At 37.4% G+C, this 27,977-nt stretch overlaps 1 protein-coding gene, 1 long non-coding RNA gene and 1 pseudogene across 2 annotated transcripts in view; 2 read left to right on the top strand and 1 right to left on the bottom strand.

The window, feature by feature from the left end:
* The window catches only part of ERO1B (endoplasmic reticulum oxidoreductase 1 beta), a 66,858-nt gene that overhangs the window by 25,042 nt on the left and 13,839 nt on the right, over positions 1 to 27,977 (bottom strand). Inside the window, exons 3-6 of the mRNA NM_019891.4 lie at positions 13,280 to 13,363; positions 11,908 to 11,949; positions 9,743 to 9,825; positions 3,280 to 3,353 (exon numbers count right to left, since the gene is read on the bottom strand). Of these exons, the coding sequence (NP_063944.3) occupies positions 3,280 to 3,353; positions 9,743 to 9,825; positions 11,908 to 11,949; positions 13,280 to 13,363 (283 nt within the window). The remainder of the gene's footprint in view (positions 1 to 3,279; positions 3,354 to 9,742; positions 9,826 to 11,907; positions 11,950 to 13,279; positions 13,364 to 27,977) is intronic.
* On the top strand, positions 5,694 to 11,525 carry LOC124904562 (uncharacterized). The gene is made up of 2 exons (XR_007066962.1): positions 5,694 to 7,195; positions 11,284 to 11,525. It is a non-coding gene; the product is annotated as an uncharacterized LOC124904562 (long non-coding RNA).
* RNU2-70P (RNA, U2 small nuclear 70, pseudogene) lies at positions 27,638 to 27,813 on the top strand (annotated as a pseudogene).

Genomic DNA, 27,977 nt, shown 5'->3' on the forward strand with positions numbered 1-27,977 from the left:
GATTCACCTGCCTCAGCCTCCCAAAGTGCTGGGATTACAGGCATGGGCCACCGTGCCTGGCCTTAAGTATACGATTTTTTTCTAACTGAATTTCCTTTCCACTGTCCTAATTTAATAGAGTTATGAGGTCATACCACATTTTCTAGGATGTTAAACTTTCCTCCCTACTTCCTAACTCATATATCTCTTAAACATTAATGGTAGCATACAGAACAACTTAGTGTGCAAGCTCTTTGCTACGGTCACAGATAAAAAAATACTGTATTATAGACTCAGGATTAAGCTTAAAGCCCTCCATCACCAACCCTACCCCAAACTGCTACTAACTCACTATTAAAACATGATTTACAGTCAAGGAGAAGCTACAGTTTATAAAGCTCTCAAAAAATTTTGATACACAACCAGATTTAGAAACTACTGTTTTAAACATTAAATTTATTAATGAACATATTTTAAGGGAAAAAATAAAACTAAAAATCTATCATGCTATTTAGGCTTTTTATGAACCAACTAGTTCATTCAGCAAGTATTTACTAAGCATCTACCACGTCCAGGCACCATTCTAGGCACTAGGGATACATTAGTGAACCAAAAACAAAGCCCTTGCCCTCAAATAGCTCACAATCTAGCTGGGGAAGACTGACAAGAAACCGATACACTCAATAATATGCCATATACTGTCAGACAGTTGTTAGTGCTTGGGCAGGGTGGGGGCCATCAAAGCAAAGGGACAGGGAGTGATAGTGGCTACTATCTTACACAGCGAGATGAGAGCAGGCTTTTCTGATAAAGTGACATTTGAGGAGAAACATGAACAAGAAGCAAGCCATGATAAAGACAGTAACAACAACAACAAAAAAGAGTGGTAGGGAAAGCAGTTTACCTTAAAGGATATTAAATTACTAAATTATTTTAAAAACTACTATTTGATCTATAGGGATCATCTTCCATTCAAATGAAGTCATTATCAACAGCAAAACAGCAGGAAATGGACATATTCCCTAGTAAACTGGGTGAATATTCTTTATATTTTTGTTTTAATCCACTGAATTTGGGAAACAGCAATAACTAAACAATGATTCTAAAGCTACCCTGACAGTAATTTTAAAAACTACTATAGGCCAGGCACGGTGGCTGATGGCTGTAATCCCAGCACTGTGGGAGGCCAAGGCAGACGGATCACCTGAGGTCAGGAGTTTGAGACCAACCTGGCCAACATGGCGAAACCCTGTCTCTACTAAAAATAAAAAAAAAAATTAGCTGTGCATGGTGGTGCATGCCTGTAATCCCAGCCACTAGGGAGGCTGAGGCAGAATTGCTTGAACCTAGGAGACAGGTTGCAGTGAGCCAAGATTGTGCCATTGCACTCCAGCCTGGGCAACAGAGTGAGACTCCATCTCAAAACAAAACAAAACAAATCAAAAACAAACTGCATATAAACCATTGGAATATATATGAACATTACAACTCAGAAGAGTCATGGTAAACCAATTAGTAGGTACCATGGTTTTATAAGAATATAAAAATAATTGATTTTAAATATAATCTTGAAAATCTTAAGGGGATGATTTCATGTAAATTCTTAAAAAATATTTCTTACTTTCTACAATTTAAGAAACTAATATTTTAAAAAATAGTTAACACGGCCAGGTGCAGTGGCTCAAGCCTGTAATCCCAGCACTTTGGGAGGCTGAGGCAGGTGGATCACGAGGTCAGGAGATCAAGACCATCCTGGCTAACATGGTGAAACCCCGTCTCTACTAAATATACAAAAAATTAGCTGGGCGTGGTGGTGGGCACCTGTAGTCCCAGCTACTCGGGAGGCTGAGGCAGGAGAATGGCGTGAACCTGGGGGGCGGAGCTTGCAGTGAGCCGAGATTGTGCCACTGCACTCCAGCCTGGGCGACACAGCGAGACTCTGTCTCAAAAAAAAAAAAAAAATCGTTAACACTGTTTATACTGATGGCAGGTAATCTACATATCAATTTATTTATAGCAAGTACTTCCTGCAATTAAGTATTTTTATTAAATACCTATTTACCATAAGAGTAATATATAGTCACACAAATTATTAATTTGAAAACCTATTAAATAAGCACTATTATTTATACTTTAATCAAAGAATAGGTAAATGGACAATTTAGAAATAAATGACTATGAGTGTTAAGCACTCAAATATAAATGGCAACCAAAGAGCAAATGTGAAAGGAGAGGTTCAATGGCTTGCTTTGATAAAAGTTTTACCAATTCTCTATATCATAGAGAGGACAGATACTTCATTAATTACCCCTTAGTATAACCTCACTCAGATTCCTTTAAAATTTCCTTACTGAAACCATATAAGCCAAGATAACATTCCATCTCCCAGTATTATTCTCAGTTTACCATACTATCGTAGAAGCTCACTCTAACTTACTCCACTATGGGCTGGATTTATAGCACAATTCTACCCGTGAATCTTTTTTAAAACTTTAGAAAGCAGAGCATTCTAGATACTTGAAGAGTTCCAAAGAACTACTATTTCCAACTATGCACACTTAATCCCCAAATTCTTTTCCACTGTGAAAAATATAACAATACCAAGGAAAAAGGTGAAGAGAAACTAAATGAATGATTTATGCCTACTCAGCACAATTCTTTGGGAATATTATCCCACAGATAAAAAATTTTGAGTCACTGCAATTACCTTCTGTTAAGAGAAGTGGTAGTTACTCTGGTGGAGAGTGTCCAGTCTTTCTACCATTCCAGGGGACTCTTGGAAAAAGGGCTGTGGAGAAGTCGAATTAGAGTCCTCCCCAGCATTAGAAAGCATCTTTACATGAGTTTGTTAAGACCTCTAGCAAATTCCAGTGTAAATATTTTTACAAAATGTTCACAGACCTATAACTAAGTGGCTTCAATTGAAGGTCCATGGCAGATGGTATATCATAATGGAAAGAATACAGGTTTTGGATTCGGATATGGGATCAAATCCTGCCTCAGCCTCTTGCTATTGTGTGATCTTGGGCAAGTTATTTAGTCTTTTTCAGACTCAGTTTTCTCAGATATGAAATAATACACACTTATGAAGGTAGCTGCAAAGACCAGAAATAATGTATTTAAGGCACTTAACATAGGGCCTGGAACACAGGCTCTCAATAAATGCCATTATGAATAATAAGGTCTACATAGCAAAATCCAGTACTGAAGCTATAATTCAGTTTATATTTTCATTGATTAAAATGTCTTATAAAAGGGTTAAAGTTAAAATAATTTAATTATAATAGTTTATTGTATTACCATCAAGTTCACAAAAGTGATCCCGTGAATCATCATATCTTGCCCAGTCAATGAAAGCTTCTTTGCTTTGATTACTATGGGAAGGAGGAATAAAAAAGAAAAATTATTAAATTTGGAGCTGAAACTTTTAATACTGTATTCTAGTGTAATTAAAATAGATAATCTGAGGTCAGTTAAAGATTAGATGATGTCACAATTCTGCTATTAGTGATTACATGAAGGGATGACAAAAAACAAGTTATAGGAAAATATATGTATTAATTTCCTTGAGTAATTTATATTTCTTAACTATACTGAATTATTAGGACTAGTCAATAATAATTATTTCAAGGAGAAATTAATTTGTAAATACATATAACATGTAGTTAAACACAAAACTCAAGCTAAACTTTTCAATTAACTTAGAAATTATAACGTTAAACGTATTTTTTCCGAAGTAATTAAATTTATTTTCAGAATTCTTTTAATTTAAATTGTGTCTATACTTACAAGATCTAAAATACCAATAACTGTATTTCTATAATCTCCCATCCAATGTGGTATTCACTGGTTACAACAATGCCACTTTTATCATGGTGTATCACTCGTTTCACAGCCTAGTTAACATTTAACAAAATCTATGATCAAGATTTCTAACTTGAAGAACTGATAAGTAACAACTACATTCCTTGAAATCAACTTTGATCTACATTAACTTGAACCTATATTCAGGCCTTCTCTGTATTGAATACTCATGATGGTAGTATCTATCAGAGAGGCATCATTTTGCTACCCTCTTTATTCATAACACAAAAGGAAAAAACAAGGTACAAAAAACTGTATAAATCAGGTATATAAAGGTAAAAATCAGGTAATTCCTAAATGTGGTACTGTCATAATCAAGAATTTGTTTTGTATTTGAGAAGCCACTACAAAGAAGTGTATAAGCTTGGCTGTACTACATCAACTTTATCAATACATTTTTCCAGTTCAACTTACTGTGGAATTTTTTTCCCTATGGGAGTATATAATAAAAATTAACAAAAATATTGTATCACAGTTGACCCAACTGAAATACGTGATGCCATAAACAATAATGCCTAATTACAGCTAAAATGACGTTAACTAAACTTGTGTTTAATAAGATAGATCTTATGTTGAAAGTAGTGAAGAACAAATCAATAGTGATACAAATTCCTATTTTCTTGTTAACAATATGACTTTCAGGAAATTTCTTCTTTGAGCATCCTCATTTGAAGAGGCTTTGCTGATTCTTTCACCTAACCCCTGCCTAAAACCACAGTAAAGCCATGCCTAAGCCCGAAAAAACATTGAATGTGCATCTAATGCTAATAAAGCTGGCTCAGTTTGATTTATAAATGAGTTAGAAGGGACCTTAGAGGTTATCTACTTCAGCTTTTCCAAATGTCAGTTTGAAGATGGATGCAACACTATTTGCATGAGAATTTCTTGGACTTAACTCAGCACTTCCTTTCAAGATAGTGTCCCAAGGTTAAAGTAGTAGTCTTCAAACTGGGAAATGAGGAGCATAAAAGATGGAATAGGGAATGAGAAACTTTCTGGGAGTGATAAATATATACATATATTTTTTGAGACAGGGTCTCACTGCACCCAGGCTGGAGTGCACTGACATCATAGTTCACTGTAGCCTTGACCTTCTGGGATCAAGTGATCCTTCTATCCTCAGCCTCCCAAGTAGCTCGAACTATAGACATACGCCAACACATCCAGCTAATTTATTTATTTATTTTTTTGTACAGACAGGGTCTTGCTATGTTGCCCAGGCTGGTCTCAAACTCCTGGGCTCAAGTGATCTGCTTGTCTTGGCCTCCCAAAGTGCTGGGAGTACAGGTGTGAGTCACCATGCCCAGTCAAAATATATATATATATATATATATATACACACACGTATATATATACGTATATATATACACACGTATATATATACGTATATATATACACACGTATATATATACGTATATATATACACACGTATATATATACGTATATATATACACACGTATATATATACGTATATATATACACACGTATATATATACGTATATATATACACGTATATATATATGTGTGTATGTATGTGTGTGTATATATATGTGTGTATGTATGTGTGTGTATATATATATATATATATATATATATTTTTTTTTTTTTTTTTTTTTTTGAGACACAGTTTTACTCTGTCACCCAGGCTGGAGTGTAGTGGCACGATCTTGGCTCACCGCAACCTCCACCTCCTGGGTTCAAGTGATTCTCCTGCCTCACCCTCCTGAGTAGCTGGGATTACAGGCGTCTGCCACCACGCCTGGCTAATTTTTTTATTTTTAGTAGTATTTAAGTAGTATTTTCACCATGTTGGCCAGGTTGGTCTTGAACTCCTGGCCTCACATGATCCCCCTGCCTCGGCCTCCCAAAGTGCTAGGATTACAGGCATGAGACACAACACCCAACCTATGGTATCTTAATTGTGATGATGTTATATGGGTGGACACATGTCAAAACATCAAACTGTATACTTTATATGCAGTGTATCATATTTCATTATACCTCAAAGTAAAGCTGTTTAAAAATCATAGTACCAATCACTGGAGAAGTTGTAGAACAGATAACTGATACACTACTAGTAGCAATATAATTTGGTAGCAATTTTAGAAAACAATTTGGCAGTACCTAATCTCATTTCTAGGTATATTCTCCATAAAAATATACATATGTATGTACCAAATTTTTTTTTTATTTTTTCACAGATAGTGTCTCACTTTGTCACTCAGGCTGGGGAGTACAGTGGCACAATCATAGCTCATTGCAGTCTCAAACTCATGAACTCAAAGTGATCCTCCTGCCTCAGCCACTCAAGTAACTGGGACTATAGGCTCATGCCACTGCACCTGGCTATTTTTTTTTTTAATTTTTTGTAGAGACAGGATCTCACTTGTTGGCCAGGCTGATTTTGAACTCCTGGCTTCAACCAATCCTCCTCCCTTGGCCTCCCAAAGTACTGGGATTACAGGCATGAGCCACCATGTCCAACTGTATCCACCAAAATATTTCTGAAATGGCCCCAAAGCATAAGCTATCAAGAGCAGAATGGAAACATGGCACATTCTTACTATAGAATACTATGTGCCAATAAAAAAGAATTAAACATTACTATGCCCAAAAACATGAATGAATCTCAGACACATGTTAACAAAAAGAAGCCAGATACAACAGAATATGTTCTATATCATTCTATTTATAAACAGTTAAAACTAATCTCTGTCAGTATCTCAAAATCACGGTTAACTTTGGAAGGTGATAATGACTAGGAAAGTACACATGGTAATCTGGACAGCAAGTATAATGCTCTGGATGGTGGCTATAGAGTTGGGTTCACTTTGTAAAGTTACATTGACCTTTACACTTAAGAATTTTCTATTCCACCATATGTGTATTATACTTAAATTTTTTAAGTTTAAAGAATAATTTCTGTTCAACAACAAAAAACTATATGCAAAATTAAAGGACAAATCCTAACAACACAGCCAACAAAGAATTATCACATTATATAAAGAATGCTTACAAATCAGTAATAATTTTAAAATCCAACCCAATGGAGAAAAAAATGACAAAGAATATAAACTGGCAATTTACCCCAAAATCTTCCAATGACTTAAGCCTAGTCCCTAGATCATTCCTCTATTTACACTCTCTCCTTGGTGATCTCATTTAGGTTTATGGCTGCTAAACACCATCTATTCATTGACTGACATCCAGACCTCTCCCCTATTTCAGATTTGTATATCCAACTGCCTACCTGAAATCTCCAAGTGGATGTCTCACAGGCAGCTCAAACTTAACAAATCCAAATTTGACTATAACTTTGTCTCAGACTTGCTCCTCCTCCAGCTGTCCACAGGTCAGTAAATGGCAACTCCATTTTTATAATTCCAAATCTTGTAGTCATCCAAAAGCTCATATCTTCTCAATACCACATATCCAATACTGCAGCAAATCCTGTTAGCTTTATCTTCAAAATACATCCAGAACCTGACCGCTTCTCATCATTTCCACTGCTATCACCCTGGTTTAAATCACCATAATGTCTTATTTGGATTACTACGATAATCACGTAATAAGGCTTCTGCAACATATCAGGCTCCCTCAACACATGCCCTTAACTCCTCTGTTCAAAACCTCCCTGTGAGTTTTATTCCACCCAGTCTAAGAGCAAACACTCATTATAATTGCTTTCAAGGCTCTACAAGATCTCTACCCACCCCACCTCCTGCCCCATCCCTAGCATCTTTTGACCTTGTCTTCTGCTACTTTGCCCTTGATGACTGTGCTGCAGTTACATTGGTCTTATTGTGTTTAAGTCTAGGCATGATCCTGCCATGGGGGTTTTCAACTAACATTTATATATACCTGGAATGCTCATCCCCCAGCCAACCATAGTAAGACTCATGCCTTCACCTTCTTCGGCAATTTGTTCAAATGTTGTATTATCTTCTCTGACCACCCAATTTAAAACAGTGCCACTCTCTCACTCCTAGCCCTCTTTGTTCTTCCCTGCCTGTCTTCCCTAGCATTCATCATCATTTTACTTACTTATTTCTCATATATTTTACTTGTTTATTGTGTTATTTCCTCTGACAAGGATCAAGTTGCACGAGGGCGGAAATTTTATCCATTACGCTACTGGATTCCTAGTACCCTAGAACAGTGCTTGGCACATTGTAGACATTCATTTGTTGAATGAATAAGAAACTCAAATGTCCAATAAATAAAAAATGCTCAAATCCACTAGTAATTACGAAGTATAAAATAAAAACAAGGTACTATTTCACACTCAACAAACATTATCAACTTTTGGTAAGGATGTAGAGAATGATACAAGCTGTCAGCACTGGAGTCAGTATATATTCACACCAAGTACTATGGAATGTCATCAGGCAATATCAAGAATGGGTATTAAAAAGACAATCCTAAGATTCAACAATTCTACTTCTAATGTGAAAAAAAATTTGGGAATGCTCAAGGTGGCATGTTTGTAAAAGTAAATAATTGGAAATAGCTAAACATCCATCAATAAGTGAATAGCTAAGTAAAATATGGGATATTTATATGATGAAAATCATTCATCAGTTAAAAGAATAAATCTGTGTTTCAACATGGACAGATCTAGAAAGCAAAATGTACAATGAAAAATGTAGCAGAATGTTAAATATAGGATATCATTTATACAAAGGAAAAATAAAACCATATACACAAAATAAAACTATCTTATTTATACATATAAATATATAAAAACAAAAACAGACTGGATATACACCAACTAATTCTTGATAGTAGTTACCTCTACTGGATTAGGGAATACAGCATAAGGGATTTTAAATTTATCTGTGATGTTTCTTGTTCCTTAAAACATATGGCAAAAAATGTTAATATTTATTTACTTGGAATGGAGGATTATTTATTTGAAATGGAGGATATGTATGTGGGTGTTTATTATCTTTTATTTTCCTATATTAAATTTTGTCTTCAATAAATAAAATTGCTAACTTATACTGAGTCATTAGCAATTATGGTACATAAATACAAATCTTTTTTTTTTTTTTTTTGAGACAGAGTCTCACTCTTGTCACCCAGGTTAGAGTGCAACGGTGTGATCTCAGCTCACTGCAACCTCCGCCTCCCAGGTTCAAGCAATTCTCCTGCCTCAGCCTCTCAGGTAGCTGGGATTATAGGCACCCGCCACCACACCCGGCTAATTTTTGTATTTTTAGTAGAGATGGGGTTTCACCATGTTGGCCAGGCTAGTCCTAAACTCCTGGCCTCAGGTGATCTGCCCACTTCAGCCTCCCAAAGTGCTGGGATTACAGGCATGAGCCACCATGCCCGGCTCATAAATACAAACCTAATCAAATGGGAATGTAAAGGAATTTCTGAAATATCTCATTCCCAACTACTGATTATGTCTAGTCATTTTATACTACACAATTTGAGGCCATTTATATATTGTTTATGCTGGTTTCTGTGTAGAACAAATAAGGAAAAGTTAACAGAAAAAAAATCTACGAAATTTAACAGGCTAATAACTTTTATCATTCAAAATGTAACATCCAGACTCAATCACTATTTAAAAAGATTTAGGAGTTCAAGCCCCTTCTTCCATAGTAATCAGGAAAAATTGATCCATAAACCCTGTTAGCTGAACAATCTTGTAAATTTCTACTTTTTAAAAGATTTACTATGGATGATACATTCTAGAAATTTAAGGATAAATCAGCCAAGAAGAGGCAAAGCTATTATGAAATTTAGGATAAAGAAAAACTTTTTCTTCCTTTTAAAAATATATTAGTTAAAACTTTAATGGGTTCGAAAATGTTTTACCAAAATCATAAAAAATTGATTCTTGATATCAATGAGAATATTTTCTTAATATTACCAAAATAAAACTTGCCTTAATGTGCTGTTAATTGCTCCCAGTTTATTAGCTTGCTCACAATCTTCTAATTCTTTGGTATTGTTTGCCATTTTCAAGTACTGCAAAGAAGTTCGTAAGTTTAGTAAAAATTATTACCTTATTCTTTATTTCAGTTTCTATTGGCAGAATAATCAATCTGTCAACAATGATATACACTAAATATACATACATTCCATTATAAAAATCCCTATCATATGTAAGAAATACAAATGAAAATGAGGCAGAAATTTCCACCAACTAAATATTATTTCCATCAACAACATATTAAAATTTAACAATTAGGCTGGGTGCAGTGGCTCACGTCTGTAATCAGCACTTTGGGAGGCCAAGGCGGGCGGATCACTTGAGGTCAGGAGTTCAAGACCAGCCTGGTCAACATGGTGAAACCCCGTCTCTACTAAAAATACAAAAATTATCCAAGTGTGGTGGCACACGCCTGTAATCCCAGCTACTCGGGAGAGGCTGAGGCAGGAGAATTGCTTGAACCTGGGAGGTAGAGGTTGAAGTGAGCTGAGATCACGCCACTGCACTCCAGCCTGCATGACAGAGCAAGACTCTGTCTCAAAAAAATAAATAAAAATTCAAAAGTAAAAGTTAACAATTAGCACTGATGTGTTGGTGATATCAACTGAAAAAACAACCCTCTTGGGAAGTAAATTTGACCATATATATATATATATATATATATATATATATATATATATATATATCAAACGTGTGTGTGCAAACATATATATATATATGGTCAAATTTAGTTCTAAAGAGGGTTTTTATATAAAAGTTATATATACACACACATATATATATACATACGTACATATATATACACACACACACATACACACACACGTTTGCAAAATGCTTAAACCTTTGAACCTGCAGTCCCACTAGTGAGACCACATCCCAGGGCAACCATTTTTTTAAAAAGGTACAACTGCCTTGGAAAATTATTTGGTATTATTTCTAATGTTGAGATAGGCATGCCTTATGGTTCAGCAATCCTGCCTTTACAGGTAGACCTAGAGAAACTCTTACATGTGTGCACAATGAGACAAAGGACAAAAATGCTAGTGCATTACTGTTTGAAATAGCCAAAAATTGGGAACAACTGAAATGTCCATCAATAGAGGAATGGCTAATATGTGTTATAGTCATACAACTGACTACAGCTATTAAGATGATGAGCAAAATCCACATATACCAACAGAGAAAATTTCAAAAGTGTAAGACTGAGTAAAAGCACAAACTGAAAAAAAGTTTGTAACCTAAAGAAATAGAAAAATATTATTAATATTATTTAAATTAAAAAAAATTTACACACAATAAATTACATATTACTTGTGGATACACATGCAATAAAAGTGTAAAATATATTACTTGTAGATACACCTGCAATAAGAATATAAAATCACAGGATACTTCAGAAAAATGGTTAGCTCTGGGAGGAAGGAATTAGAACGAACTGGGAAATGGCTGAGGGGGTTTCAACTGCTTTTATATGGTTTTATTTATTTCAGATCTGAAGCAAAAATAAATACAATAAAGTAAAAACAAAAGATTACACGGGAGAGAGAGCAAGAAGAAAACGCAAAGGAGGCACAAGAAGGAGACAGAGAGAGAGGGTATGATGATCTTTATTATGGATGCGCAGTAGTGAAAAACAGGAAATAAACGGTTCTCTAAAAACATATCAATGGCAAAATATAATACTCTCATAAAAGGACAAGAACAATAATTAAAAATGAATATCTTAATACCATCTGAAAGTACTCTGCTCAAAATATCTTGATAATTATTTACTCTATACAATATAATTCTGAACCTGCCAGGCTAACTAGTTGAAACAGAAGACTAAAAATAGCTATGTGATAAAACACCTGCTGACTAGGGGATCTGACACTATAGTTACATTTAATAGTTGTTCCAGAGATTCCAAAAACAGTACTGAAGCAATTTCAAAAGAATCTAGAAATGTACAATCTATCTGCTTGACGCAAGAGTTAGGGATTTGGAATTCTGAGGCAAAATGTCTCCATTCCCAACTAACCATAATATGGTTCTTTACTACAGCCACTGTCAGTCAGTAAATGGTAAGTTTCACAATGTAAAGCAGAAACACTCAAGGAAGAGGAGGGACTTACCTTATTAGAATGCCCAGCTTTTATTCCAACCGGAATTTTACTCTTAAAAAAACAAGAAAAGCAAAAAAATTTTTAAGTGATCTTTATTTTTTTTGGAATTTCTTCACGAATTGTCAATGCATTGCTCTATTTCATCAAGCATTTTACTCTATGAGGGGCAAATATACACTCACTCAAATTGTGTTTTCACACTATCTCATAAAGTAAAAGTGTTATCCCAATATACAGACTTATAAATCAAAGTATAGAAAACTGAATGACATACACAAAGTAAGAAAGCCAAAAGCAGCTCTAATAACTATTGCAGTATTTTTTATAGTTTATATAATTTAGGTTGAAAACACTGACAATCACTTCCTTCCACAAACTTTGTTACCATAGAAAAGAAAGTTTTGAAAGTTCAAAATTATTTGCAATGTATTATGTGCAATTTTAACTTCTGCTCTAACAAAGTGTAGGCAATTTTGGATTACTAGAAAGCTTTTTTTGGCCCACACGATTAACCTAGAGTTTACCAATCTAATCTAGGGTTTACCAATGGGAGAAGTGCATGTAGCTGGAACATTCTTTTTCACAAGGCCAATAATTAGTGTTAGGCTTTAATAAATGTATCTGAATTATTACAACCAGTTTATCAAACAGAACTTTAAACGAAATACTTAATACATATTTTATTCTTAAAGGAAACTGAATATTATAAATTTTTAAAGAATGTTCCCTTTAGGAAGGACATTGGTACAGATTTTTAAGGACAACAAACTAGACTAACTGATTAGGTAAGAAAAGCAGAAAGTGAAAGGAAAACAAAGCTTACAACTAATTACTGTTGAAGAAGAGGAATATAATTAATTATGTTAGATAACAAAAATCAAAGTCTAAAATGTAGCATTCTCTTGGTATTAAGTATAGGTTTTTTTTTAAATGTAAATGTAACAAGGCCAAGTGAAAATCTAATTCTAAGCCTGAAATTTCCCCAATTAAATCACTATAAATTTGAAATATAGGGTCCAGTAGCTTGTTTTTATTTTGTTTTTTTTTTCCTATGAAACAAGATGCTGATTCAATAAAGCATGAAATAAAAGACAACTGCAGATCCAATCCTAGAACAGGCCTCTGATTTTCCTTCCATTTTAGAATAAGACTATATTTCCATATTTGATCACCAGTATCACTGGATACAAGTGTCTTCAAACCCATTTTGGTGTCAAGTATAGAATCTTCAATAATCTGGTTCTAAAGGAGAGAGCTGAGAGCATATGAATTTGCTGACACATCCAAATCCATTGACATTAGCCTGAAATAAAATAGAGGTTATGCTTTTCTAAAAGTCCAAGAGAAAATTGGCTTTGCCCTGTTATTTTATTTATTATACCTCTGGACAGGGCTCCACATGACAGTCTTTTATTGAACAGTGGCCATCTTCTGCCCAGAAAGGACAAGGTCGCTTCAGATTAACCTTGAAAGAAAGAACAAAGTTAGTAAACTCATATTATAGTTATGGGGTGCTCTCAAAGTGTCATTGTGTTGGGCACCAGTGACATGGTGGTGAATAAGAAGGAATACTTCCTATCCTCGTGGCACCTATAAGGTTCAGAATTTAAAATGACAGCAATGAGCTAGATCATGCCATTGCACTCCAGACTGGGTGACAGAGAAAGCATTTAGAACTACTTGAATGTCTTCCAGCCTCCTAATGTTATCTTATTAATGAGAATTCTCTCATGCACCCATTTATTCAACAAATAAGAACTGAGCATCCACTATGTGTCAGGCACTGGGTAGGCTATGGGGGGAAAATGGACAGAAAAAGAACTCCCCTATCCCTCTGGAACTTAAAAATCTATTGAAGGAAACAAATTAAATATTTGTAAGTTTAGTACGAGTTGTAGTCAGTGCTACAAAGAAAATCCAGAGAACTGTAATAGTGAGGCTAGCGGATGGAGGCCTCTGAGGCAGTAATATTTTAGGATGGAGGAAGTGTGCATTTGGATAAGGCAATAAAAAGCCTGGGCAGTTGTGTGAACTAAAAAACACCAGTTGGGCTGACGTTTAATGTAGAAGGGGGAGGGTGGCAGAGAACGAGGATGGAGGTAAACAAGGGACAGTCATGCAGGACATTTTAACCATGGTAAAAAAGCTGGATTTTCCTATTCTACACATTACAGGAAGACAGTAATTCAATAGGACTTGCAGATTGCCCATGCCAAAATCTAGGTTTTATTCTCCTTCCTCCCTTTTCTTGTTCCCCATCAAACAATTCATTTTTCCATTTGTCACCACCTACCTCTTGCCTACACTATTGCAATAGTCTCCCTGCTTCTACTTCTATGTCCATACAGCAACTACAGTTATCTATTTAAAACAGATCAGATCATATCAATCCCTCCTCAAAACCTTCCTGTGGCTTCCCATCACCCTTAGAGTTTATAAACTCTGCAGCAAGCTCCACAAGGCCCTCCATAACCTGGCCTCTGGCCTATCTCTCTGACCTCTTCTATTATGCTCCTCTGGCCACACTGGCCTTGCTGGGAACATACCATGCTCCCTATGTCTCAAGATCTTTATTTTTTTTTTATTTTTTGAGACAGAGTCTCACTCTGTCACCCAGGCTGGAGTGCAATGGTGCAGTTTTGGCTCACTGCAACCTCTGCCTCCTGGGTTCAAGTGATTCTCCTGCCTCAGCCCCCCAAGTAGCTGGGATTACAGGTGTCCACCACCACGCCTGGCTAATTTTTGTATTTTTAGTAGAGACAGGGTTTCACCATGTTGGCCAGGCTGGTTTCGAACTCCTGACCTCAGGTGACCCGCCTGCCTTGGCCTCCCAAAGTGCTGGGATTAGAGGCATGAACCACCGTGCCTGGCCGGTCTTTATCTTTTTTTTTTTCTTTTTTGAGACAGAGTCTTGCTCTGTTACCCAGGCTGGAGTGCAGTGGCACGAACCTGGCTCACTGCAGCCTCGAACTCCTGGGCTCAGGTGATCTTTGTACCTCAGCCTCCCAAGTAGCTGGGACCACAGATGTACCACCACACCTGGCTAATTTTTTTTTTCTTTCTTTTTTTTTTTTAAGTAGAGACAAGGTCTCACTATGTTTCCCAGGTTGGGCTGGAATTCCTGGGCTCAAGCCATCCACCCACCTCAGACTCCCAGTGTTAAGATTATAGGTGTGAGCCACCATGCCCGGCCTCAAGGTCTTTATATTTGCTGTCCTCTCTGCCTGTATTATTGCTCCTCCAGATCTTATGACGGCTCACTCTTTCGCCGCATTCAAGTCTCTCTCACATATCACACCTAAGCAGAGAGACCATTCCTGGCCAGGCTTGCTAAAGTAGTGCTCAGTATGCAACCTCTACCCCAACGTACTGTTTTACATTCTTTTATGGCACTTATCCCTGAATGTTATCTGCTTATTGTCTGCGCCTCCTACCATAAGGATCAGAATTTTGCATCATCTTATCCTTAGTGCTTGGAACAGTGGTATAATACATAGTAGACACCTAATTAATATGGTTAAGTAAACAATATCTATATTACAGAGAAGAAGGCAAAAATAGGTAGATTGGCAACATAGAGGAGAGGGTGATCAACTCTGACTTTTGGTAATATGTAAAATGGGTATGACTAGAAGTGTTTGAGGGAGATTTAGAGGCAGTGGGGCAGGATGTGCATAAACAAAGAACCTTAAAACAGCATGGCACATCTGGGGACTGCAAGTTCTCAGCCTGGACACCTCCCTTAAGCTTCTGGCCTGTATACCCACCTGCTTCCTGGATTATCTCTTCCTGGACAAGGCATTCATAGGTACCTCAAAATTAACATATCCAAAACTGCACCTCCTCCTTCTAGAAATTCTTACCATCTGAGTAAAATGCAACTCCATTATTCTAGTTCCTCAAGCCAAAAATCTTGGCAGCTTTTCCAGCAACTCCCTGAGGCTCTGGCCTCTAACAAGCCAGTATCTGGGAACCCATGTAGCAAATAAAGAATAAACCTCCTTGAGCCTAAACAGAAGGGACAGCACTCTATGTGCCTTCTTCCCCTGGCTTACTTCAGGCGCTAATCCCAGCCATCCACTCTCTCCTTGGAAAAAGGTTGGAGGCCTCTGCCAGCAAGAACAGGAGGAACAGCACCCTCTGCGCTTTCTTCCCTGACTTGCTCCTGAGATAAGTTTCTGCAACCTCTCATTAGAAGGAGGCAAGGGGACCTCTCCATGACAAGAAAGAGAAGGGGATATTCCCTGTGTCTTCTTCCCTGGCTTGCTTCAGGGAACTCCAGACCAAAAGGTTACTCCTGCAAGGTGCATGTGAGACTTCTTGCTTGAACGGGAGAGTAAGCACACTCTGCACCTCCTTCCCTGGCTTGCTCCAGACACAATCCCAACTCTGAAATCTCTGCCACCACGAATGGAAGGGACAGCACTTCTCATGCCTTCTGCCTCCATGTGCTCTAGAGACAAACTCCCACAATCTCTCAATGGAAGGAGGCGGGGGGACCTCCCCATTCCTGAAAAGGAAAGTCAGCACTCCCTGTGCCTTTCTCCTGGCATGCTTCAGTAATAGCTTCAGATCAGAAGTCTCCCCCTGCTAGGGGGGCATGAGACCTGCTGGCCCAAAAAGTAGAGTGGGCTTCCTGCACCTTTTCCCCTACAGGCTCTGGCAATAATTCCAGGTCTTCAACTCTCCATGAAAATAATTTTTGAACACATCAAGAACCCCAACTTTTATAGCCTTCACTGGAGGGATAGGCTGCTAAATCACCTAGCTCTGGGAGTTGATGAAGCCCTACACTCCTGAGTCTCCTAGACCACAGAGAACAAACAGGTGACTTTTAAACTTGCAAATAAATATTCAGCAGCTATCTCTCTCTTCCAAGTTAAAAAGTCACCAGTTAGATCAAGAATACAGGCATCTGCCTCAGATGCTCTCTTTGGTGCAGAGCAGAATCAGTGGGAGATAAACTCTGGCTTTCAGCTTCTCTGCAAGGAAAGAAGAAACCAAAGCACACATCTAACATCCCAATATCTCTAGTCATATCCCAAGGGAATGGCTTCTATACCACCTCTCTCAAGGCAATAGTACAACTTGACTCTAATTTCTTGGAGGCCACTAAGAACAGAGACAGCAGGCTGGACAAGCACAAAGTTTTGCGAAACTAGAATACTGCCAAGGCTGATTGGGAAGAAACACCTGGTACATAAGACCAGTCTAACAAGACTAGAGAAGGTAGTTCTTTTATATAATACACAGAAACCAATACAGAGTTAAGAAAAATGAAGAATTACTCCTTCTAGTAATACTCACCATCTGAGTAAACAGCAACTCCATTATTCTAGTTCCTCAAGCCAAAATCTTGGCAGCCTTTCCAGCAACTCCCTGCAGATTTGGCTTCTAACAAGCCAGTATCTAGGAGCCTATGTAGCAAATAAAGAATAAACCTCCTGAAGCCTAAACAGAAGGGACAGCATTCTATGTGCCTTAAGTTAAGAAAAATGAAGAAATAGGGAAATATGCTCCAAAAAAAAAAAAGAACAAGACAATCTCAATTAGAAGCCAACCCTACTGAAAGGAAGATATGTGATTTACCTAACAGGACATTTAGAAGGAGTCATAAAGATGCTCACTGAGGTAAGGAGTGCGATGCATGAACAAATTGAGAATATCAACAAAGAGGTAGAAAATATTTTTAAAATATCAAACAGAAATCATTGACCTGAAGAACACAATAGCCAAACTAAAAAAATTCAGTAGAGGGGTCCAACAGCAGACTAGATCAAGCAGAAGAAAGGATTAGCAAACTTGAAGACAGTTCAATGGAAATCATCCAATCTGAGGAACAAAAAGAAAAAAGAATGAAAAAGAGTGAAGACAGTCTAAGGGACTCATAGGATACCACCAAGCAGAATTACACACATTATCAGAGTACCAGAAGGAGAAGAAAGAGAAAAAGGGACAAAAAAAATTCAAAGAAAAAGTGGCAGAACACTTTCCAAGTCTGGGGAAGGAAACAGAAAGCCAGATCCCTCCTGTTAGCTTGCTTATGATGAAAGAAAGAAAGAAGGACAGAAAGAGAGAGAGAGAGAAAGAAAAAAAAGAAAAACAAAGCAAAAAAAAAAAAAACCCAGCCAGATCCAGGAAGTTCAATGAAAACTTGATAGGAGGAATCCGAAGAGACTCACACACCAAAAGACGTTATTATCAAATTGTCAAAAGTTAAAGACAGAGAAAATATTGAAAGCTGCAAGGGAAAAGTGAGTTGTTACAAACAAGGGAACTTCCAGTAAATTATAGGCAAAATTTTCAACAGAAACCTTGTAGGCCAGAAAGGAGTGGAATGTTAGATTCAAAAAGCTGAAAGAAAAGGAAGAAAAAGAATTGTCAACCAAAAATACTATATCCAGTGATCCTGTTCTTCAAAAATAAAAGGGGAAATAAAAACTTTCTCAGACAAAACGTAAGGAAATTTATCACCACTAGATCTGCCTTATGAGAAATGCTAAAAGGATCCTTCAAGCTGAAGAAAAATGCTGCCAACTAGCAATATTAAAAACATATGAAAACGGCTGGGTGCAGGGGCTTACACCTGTAATCCCAACAACTTGGGAGGCCGAAGCGGGTGGATCACTTGAGGCCAGAAATTCGAGACCAGCCTGGCCAACGTGGTGAAACCTCATCTCTACTAAAAAAGTACAAAAATTAGCTGGGTGTGCTGGTGTGCACCTGTAATCCCAGCTACTCGGGAAGCCGAGTCAAGAGAATCACTTGAACTTGGGAGGCGGACGTTGCAGTGAGCCAAGATCGTGCCACTGCACTCCAGCCTGGGTGATAGAGTAAGACTCCATCTCAAACATAAATAAATAAATAAATTAGAAAACATAAAACTCACTAGTAAAAGTAAGCATACAAACTCAGAACACTATTATACTGTACTGGTGGTGTAAATATCAATTATATATCTAATAGGAAAGTTAAAAGACAAAATATTAAAAATAAATAACTATAGCTATAATACACTATACAAACTATACAAGATATAAGACATGTCCTTAAAAACAAATTGGGGTGGGGAGGCAAGTAAAAGTATAGCATTTATGCAAGTGATCAAAGTTAAGTCAGTATCAGCTGAAAACAGCCTGCTACTAACACAAGATGTATGTAGGTCTCATGGTAACTACAAAGCAAAAACCTTTAGTAGTTGCAGAAAAGATAAAAGATTCAAGGCATACCACTATAAAAAAATCATCAAACCACAAAGGAAAACAGCAAGAGAGGAGGAGAGAACAAACGAATTACAGATTAACAAAAAAAGCAATTAACAGAATGGCAATAGTAAGTCCTTACCTATCAATGATTACTTTGAATGCAAATGGATTAAATTATCCAATCAAAAGTGGATTGGATTAAAAGTGGCGAATGGATTAAAAAATAAGACCTAACTATATGCTGCTTATAAAAGACTTGCTTCACCTCTAAGGACACACACAGACTGAAAAGATAGAAAAAGATGTTCTATGCAACTAGAAACCAAAAGAGCAGGGGTAGCTATCCATATGTCAGACAAAATAGACTTTAAGTCAAACATGTAAAAAGAGATAAAGAAGGTCATTTAAAATGATAAGGGGGTCAATTTATCAAGAAGTTACAAAAACTAAATATATATATGCACCCAACTTCTGAAAAGGTAAATATATAAAGCAAATATCAATAGCTTTGAAGAGAGAGATAAATTGCAATACAATAAGACTTCAATACTCCACTTTCAACATTAGATCACCTAGACAGAAAAAAAAAAATCAATGAGGAAACACTGGATTTGAACTACACTTTAGACCAAATGGCCCTACCAGATATTTATAGAATATTCCATACAACAGTAACAGAATATACATTATTCTCAGTGCATATGGAACATTCTCCAGGATAGAGCATGTTAGGCCACAAAACAAGTCTTAACAAATTTAAGAACACTGAAATCATACGAAGTATCTTATGTGACCACACTAACATGAAACTAGAAATCAGTAATCAATGAAACCAAAGTTTTTTTTTAAAGATAAACAAATAGACAAACCTTTAGCTAGATTAACAAAGAAAAAGAGAAGATGCCAACAAAATCAGAATTAAAGAGGAGACATTACAACTGACATCGAAGAAAAAGAGACTACTAATCACGACTATGTTCCAATAAATTGGATAACCTAGAAGAAATGAAGATATTACTAGAAACATGCAGCCTACAAAAGCTGGAGTAAGGAAGTCATGAAAATCTGAATAGGCCAATAATAATTAAGGAAACTGATTCAATAAAAAGTATCTTATCAAAGAAAGACGAGGCACTGGGCGCAGTGGCTCATGCCTGTAATCTCAGCACTTTGGGAAGCTAAGGCAGGTGGATCACCTGAGGTCAGGTCAGGAGTTCAAGACCAGCCTGGACAACATGGTGAAACCCTGTCTCTATTAAAAATACAAAAATTAGCTGGGTGTGGTGGCATGGGCCTATAATCCCAGCTACTCAACAGGCTGAGGCAGGAGAATCACTTGAACCCAGGAGATGGAGGTTGCAATGAGCCGAGATCGCGCCACTGCACTCCAGCCTGGGCAACAGAGCAAGAGTTGGTCTCAAAAAAAAAAAAAAAGACAGACAGACCAGGACCTCATGGCTTCACCGCTGAGTTCTACCAAACATATAAAGAACAGCAACCAATCCTTAAACTTTTCAAAAAAATTGAAGAGAAGGTAATACTTCCAAACTCATTTTAGAAAGCCAGTATTTACCCTGATTTCGAAGGCAGAAAAAGACACTACAAAAAAATAAACAAAGGAAACTACAGGCCAACAGCCCTGATGAAAAAAAATGCAAAAATCCTTAATAAAATATTAGTGAACCAAATCCAAGAGCATAGTAAAAAGATCACTCACCATGATCAAGTGAGATTTATCCCAGAGATGCAAGAGTAGTTTGATGTACATAAATCAATAAAAATAATACACATTAAGCAAATTAAAGACAAAAGCCACATGATTATTTTGATAGATGCAGAAAAAACATATGACAAAATTCAACATCCTTTCATGATAAAAACTACCCCTGAAAAATAAGGTATGGAAAAAATGTACCCCAGCATAATAAAGGTCATATACCCACAGCTAACATCATACTCAGTGGTGAAAACTGAAAAGCTTTTCCTCTAAGATTAGAAACAAGACAAGAACGCCCACTCTTGCCACTTCTATTCAACATAGTACTGGAAGTTCTAGTCAGAGCAATAAGGCAAGAAAAAGAAATAAAAGACATCTATATAGAAAAAGAAATGAGAATGTCTGTTTGCTGATGACATGATCTCATAGAGAGAAAACTTTAAAGACTCCACCAAAAAATCTAGTAATAAACTGGTGATAAATTCTGCAAAGTTGCAGGTTACGATGTCAGCATACAAAAGTCCATAGCATTTCTATACACTAACAATGAACAATCCCCCCCAAAATTGAGAGATCATATTTACAGTAACATCAAGAAATGAAATAGTTGTAACTTTAACCAAGGAGGTGAAAGATCTATGCACTAAAAACTAAAACACTAATGAAAGAAACTGAAGACATAAATAAGTGGAAAGACATCCCATATTCACTGATTGGAAGAATTAAATTGTTAAAATGTCCATATCACCTAAAGTGATCTACAGATTCAATACAATTCCTATCAAAATTCCTATATCATTTCTTTACAGATACATAAAAAACAATACGGCCAGACACAGCAGCTCACATCTGTAATCCCAGCACTTTAGGAAGCAGAGGTGGGAGGATCAGTTGAGGTCAGTACAAGGTTTTCAAGGCTACAGTGAGCTATGATTGTGCCACTGCACTCCAGCCCAGGCAACAGAGCAAGGCTCTGTCTCAAAAACAAAAACAAAAACAAACAAACAAAAAAAGAACAATCCTAAAATTTGTATGGATCCAGAAATGACTCTGAATAGCCAAAGCAATCATGAGCAAAAAATCCAAAGGTGGACTCATTGCACACTGTGATTGCAAAATATATTACAAAGCTACTGTAATCAAAACAGCATGGTACTGGCATAAAAATAGACACATCAACCAATGGAACAAGTTAGGAAGCCCAGAAATAAACCTAAGACTCCCAAGTATGTATGGTCAATTGATTTTTGGCAAAAGTGCCAAGAACACACAACAGGGAAAGGACAGTCTCTTTAATAAAGTGTTGGGAAAACTGGATATTCACATTCACAGGAATGAAACTGGATCCTTACCTCATACAAAAATGCTCTTCCCCAGGTATCCACATTGCTTGCTTTCTCACACTCTTTAGGTCTTCCTGAAATGGCATCTTTTCAGTCTTTTTTTGTTTGTTTTTTTGAGACAGGGTCTCACTCTGTCGCCCAGGCTGGAGTGCAGTGATGCAACCTCAGTTCACCACAACCTCTGCCTCCCAGGCTCAAGTGATTCTCCTGCCTCAGCCTCCCAAGTAGCTGGGATTACAGTTGCACATCACTACTGCCTAATTTTTTTTTTGTATTTTTAGTAGAGATGGGGTTTCACCATGTTGGCCAGGCTGGTCTTGAACTCCTGACCTCAAATGATCCACTAGCCTCGGCCTCCCAAAGTGCTGGGATTACGAGCGTGAGCCACCATGCCCAGCCCTGCTGTTTTAAGCTGCTAAATTTAAAGCTAATTTTTTAATTCAGCAACAGAAATACATGGTGCAACGAGTGGACTGTGGTAGACACTGTAACATACTACTCAGATCACCCTTCAGGAATAAAGGGGATGTAATTACCTCAGTTGTGGAAATGCTGCAGGTAGACAAGCTTGGGTGAAAAGAACCACCTTACCCAAGATTGGATCCTTATTTCCTCTGGTGGCCTTCATCCAATGACCAACTGATGGAGAGATATAAAGGCCTATACCTCTCGTGCCAAATGGGGACGACTAACTCGGAAGGGTTATTCCATCTTAAGAATTCCCCACAGGCTTACCTGAGGTTTCCACTGAGGCTGCATCACAGCTTGACATCTCCCTTTGCCCAATCCTGATTCCCTGCCTTCCCCAAACTGTTGTTCCCAAGAGTATACCCTAACTAAGCTCTTGTACACTTATCACTGTCTCAGCATATGCTTCCCAGAGAACCTAACCTGTGACAACTTGTCTAGCTCCAGGAAAATAAACAAAAACTTCAGTTTTGTTGTTGTTGTTGTTGTTTTTGAGATGAAGTCTTGCTCTGTCACCCAGGCTGGAGTGCAGTGGCATGATCTCGGCTCACAGCAACTTCCACCTCCCAGGTTCAAACGATTCTCCCACCTCAGCCTCCCAAGTAGCTGGGATTACAAGCACACTCCACCACGCCTGGCTAATTTTTTGTATTTTTAGTAGAGATGGGGTTTCACTAGGTTGGCCAGGCGGGTCTCGAACTCCTGACCTCAAGTGATGCACCCACCTCAGCTCCCAAAGTGCTTGGATTACAGGTGTGATCCACTGCACCAGGCCAAAATTCAGTATTTTTATTAGGATCACATTAAATTTACATATTAACTAGGGGCGAATTAAAATTGTTAGGCTACAAAGGATATCTTTCCATTTGTTCAAATCTACTTTTGTGTCTTTCAAGAATGTTTTAAAGCTTTCCTCCTTTAGGTTTTGCATACTTCTTGATGTACTTATTCCTATATATCTTATCTGTTTTATCGCTAATATATTTTTTGTTTTATTTTGTTTGCTTTTTTTTTTTTTTTTTTTTTTTTTTTTGAGTCAGTAGTATCGCTATGTTGCCTAGGCTTGTCTCAACCTCCTGGGCTCAAGCGATACTTCCAGCTAAGTCTCCCAAGTAGCTGGGACTACAGGCATGCACCACCATGCCTGGCTTCATTGCTAATGTAAATGGTGGTTTCCTTTCTGTTATAACTTCTAAATGGTTATTATTTACATTTATGAAGATATTGACTTTTTGTATATCAAGTTTATGGCTTGCTATATTAACATATGTTTTATTGTTTTTATTATTGATTCTTTTGCATTTTTTACATATAACTTTTTTCATATAACTACATTTTCTTATTTTTGAGACAGAGTCTCGCTGTCACCCAGGCTGGAGTGCAGTGGCGTGATCTTGGCTCACTGCAACCTCTACCTCCTGGGTTCAAGCAATTCTCATGCCTCTGCCTGCCCCCCAACCAGTAGCTGGAATTACAGGCACACGCCACCATGCCCAGCTAGTTTCTTGTATTTTTAGTGGAGACAGGGTTCTGCCATGTTGACCAGACTAGTCTCGAACTCCTGGCCTCAACTGATCCACTTGCCTCAGCCTCCCAGCGTGCCGGGATTACAGGCAGAAGCCACCATGCCCAGACAACTTTTTTCATTTATAAATGGAAATAGTTATACTTATTCCTTTAAAATCTGTATGCCTCTCCATTGTCACTTATTAGTAGGAGGTAAATAATGTGTACACATGGGCATAGAATGTGGAGTAATAGTCACTGGAGACTCAGAAGGGTGGGGTGGGCCAGGCATGGTGGCTCATGCATATCATCCTAGCACTTTGAGAGGCCAAGGTGGGCAGATCACTTGAGATCAGGAGTTCAAGACCAACCTGGCCAACATGGTGAAACCCCATCTCTACTATAAATATAAAAATTAGCCAGGCATGGTGGCACACACCTGTAGTCCCAGCTACTTGGGAGCCCTGAGGCAGGAGAATCACTTGAACCCAGGAGGTGGAGATTGCAGTGAGTCGAGATCACACCACAGCACTCCAGCTTGGGCAACAAAGGTGAGACTGTCTCCAAAAAAAAAGAAGGGTGGGAGGGGAGTAAGGGATGAGAAATTTCATAAGGGGTACAATGCACACTATCCGGGCGATGGTTCCATTAAAGGCCCAGGCTTCACCACTAGGCAATATATCCATGTAACAAAACTGCACTTGTACCCCTTAAATTTATACACAAAAAAGTAAAATAAAATTTTATGGCTCTAGTTATTTTTTTCTCTTTTTTTTTTTTTTAAATCAGAGCCATCACACTGGATAGTTGTTTTTTTCTTATTTGACTGTGCTGGGTAGTATATCCAACAGTTAATGCAGATAGTGGGTATCCTTGTCTTGGTTCCTGACCTAAGTGAGAATTCCTCTAGTGTTTCCCCATATGCAAGACGTGTTAGCTATGCTGATGTTAGGACTGAAATCATCATGTTAAGAAATATACATCATTCTTATTATTTTAAAAATCAGGAGCACATATTGAATTTTGATGATTATCAACATCAATGCAAGAATCATCCTTGCATTCTTGGAATAAAATCTATTTGGTCATGATTTTACATATATGTACATTTGTGCTTGTATATGTGCACTCAAAACTTAGGCATCATCCTTGATTTCATTTCTATATCATACGTCACACTCAATTCATCAGAAAAGCTTGCTGGTGTTGCCTTTTGTGTACAACCCTAATTTGATCATTTTCTACATTTTTCAGCTGCAGCATTCTATTGCAAATCTGTATTGTTTTTATCTGAACTAACACAAGAGTCTCCTAAATGGTTCCTCTATTTCTTGTCTTCTACCCTTACAGTCTTTTTTGCACAAAAATCCCTTCAGTAGTTTCTTATCCTGCTTAAAATAAAATCCAGCATCCTTACATGGTCAATACGGTCCTACTGTTTTTTAAATCTGGTGCCTACCTATATTTCCAACTCTCCCTCTCGTTCACTCCAGCTATACCAGCTTTCTGCCTATTCAACACACCAAGCTTATTTCTATCTCAAGACCATTTACTTGGTATTCTACATCTTTTCCCTGGCATGTTCTTTCCCCAAACCTTCTCATGGCTCTTTCACATTAGGTAGGACTTTGCTCAAATGTTACATTAGCATAAATACCTTATTTTCCCAAATACTTTCTCTAATGTAGGGCTACCTACCTCTCCCACCCTCCAATTCCCCAATATTCATTCTCTCCTACTTTACTTTTCTCCATAGAATTTACCTTATAAGCATCTGAAATTATATTTTATTGTTTACTTGTTTATTGTTTGTCTCTCTTATCAGAAAAGTTTTGTCTTATTCACTACTGTATCCATAGTACCTGACACAAACTAATCATTCAATAAATATTTACTGCATAAAGGAAAGGAATAAGAAGTAAAAAAGAGAAGTTAGAAATACCAGCTACAGCAGCCAACTGCCCAACTGCATAAAGGCAGACTGTTACCTCCACCTGTATTCCTTGCTTGTTGAATCATGTGTTTAAAATTAACTTCTTTTTGGTTGGGCATGGTGGCTCACGCCTGTAATCCCAGCACTTTGGGAGGCCAAGGCGGGTGGATCACCTGAGATCAGGAGTTGCGGACCAGCCTGGCCAACATGGTGAAACCCCGTATCTACTAAAAATATAAAAATTAGCCGGGTGTAGTGGTGTGGGCCTGTAGTCCCAGCTACTCAGGAGGCTGAGGCAGGAGAATCACTTGAACCTGGGAGGCTGAGGTTGCAGTGAACCAAGATCGTACCACTGCACTCCAGCCTGGGCAACAGAGCAAGACTCTGTCTCAAAAAAAAAAAAATTAAAATTAAAAAATAATAATAAGTTAAATTAACCTTTTCTCTTAGCTTTTTCTTTTTAAAGCTTTCCTTTCTTTGCCACTGTTGTAGGTAGAGTATATTGAGTAGAGTATATTCCTTCTTATTTCTTTTATAGGCTGACAGAACAAAAAGAGGCATAGATATCACCCAAATATCCTAGAGTTAGAGCTGAATGCATTAACTAGATCATGGCATTAACCCTCCTCTGTGAGAGGGTATGAGCATGTTTTGGTTTCATATGGAATAATTTCACTGTGTTGATCAGAACATTTTTAAACTGCATGTGTAAGAGGAAGAATCAGATTGTTGAGTAGCCAAGAACCACATTGTCACTTTTGCCTATCCAAGTTCCATTATTCCTTCTTTTGTAACAGTCCCTAATTTCCCTTTGGGAAACAATGACTCCACTTTTACTCATGCAAATGAGACTGTCAACCAAGGTGTCCTTCCTTCTTTTGGTCCAACAGGTCATATGACCGTACCTGGACAGAAATATAACTCTTACATAAAGTTTGGAAAATATGGGAAAATAGTTAATTTGATACAAAATCCCAGTGGTTCCTTAAAGGAAATGGTCATTAGTTCCAGCTTTAGTTTTATCTTTTCTGAAGTATGTTTCCTCAGCTTGTCTTTCAATTTTGTTAGCTACTTCATATCTTTTCTTAATAAAACTTCTGTTTTGTTTGTTAGCCAACAAAAATACCCTACCTGGAATACCTAAACTATTACTTTTTCATTTGAAAAATGTGACTAATATTGAGAAAATTTTGGTGTGAAGATTAAACGAGATATTCATTCAAACATTCAAATATTTGAGTACTTCTACTGACCAAGCCTGCTAGGGATAGAGAAACACAAGATACAAACCCAAAGTGAAGGAGTGAAAGAGTGAGGGACATAACATTATGTAGAGATGTGAACTGGACCACTTGTGAAGAGATGGTTTTTGATACAAGAAACACTTCCCCCACTGTATTACATTGAGCAATATGAAACTGGCATGTTCAACCATTTTTGAAATATAAAAGTAAAAATTTCATATAGTTCAATGTTATGGTAGAAAAGAAACAAGAGAAAGCAGCTACAAATGCACTTAGATTTATAGATTTAGTGGTGGAAATTTAAAGAAGCACCTGTCTCTCCAATGGCTTCTCGGCCTTTTGGCTAAGATCAAGTGAAGTATCTGTTAATACCTGATATGTCCTCTACCCGAGAACAATATATTACATGGATTTTTGGAGTAGGGAGATGGAATAGGAGCTTGCTCCATCCACTCCTCGCATCGACCTGGTATTGCAGTACTTCAGGAACGGTGCACCCCTCCGGGGGAAAAAAAAAAAAATGAAAGAAGCACATGTCTTATTCATATGTAAAATGCCTAGAGTAACAGACACTCAATAGTCTATTTAGGTATAGATTACTCTTTGAAATAAATTCATGAAATATGCTTTCCTAAAGGATTTTGTACAGAGGAGAAACATACA

This window comes from Homo sapiens, chromosome 1 (assembly GCF_000001405.40).
Source record: "Homo sapiens chromosome 1, GRCh38.p14 Primary Assembly".
Taxonomy (NCBI): Eukaryota; Metazoa; Chordata; class Mammalia; order Primates; family Hominidae; genus Homo; species Homo sapiens.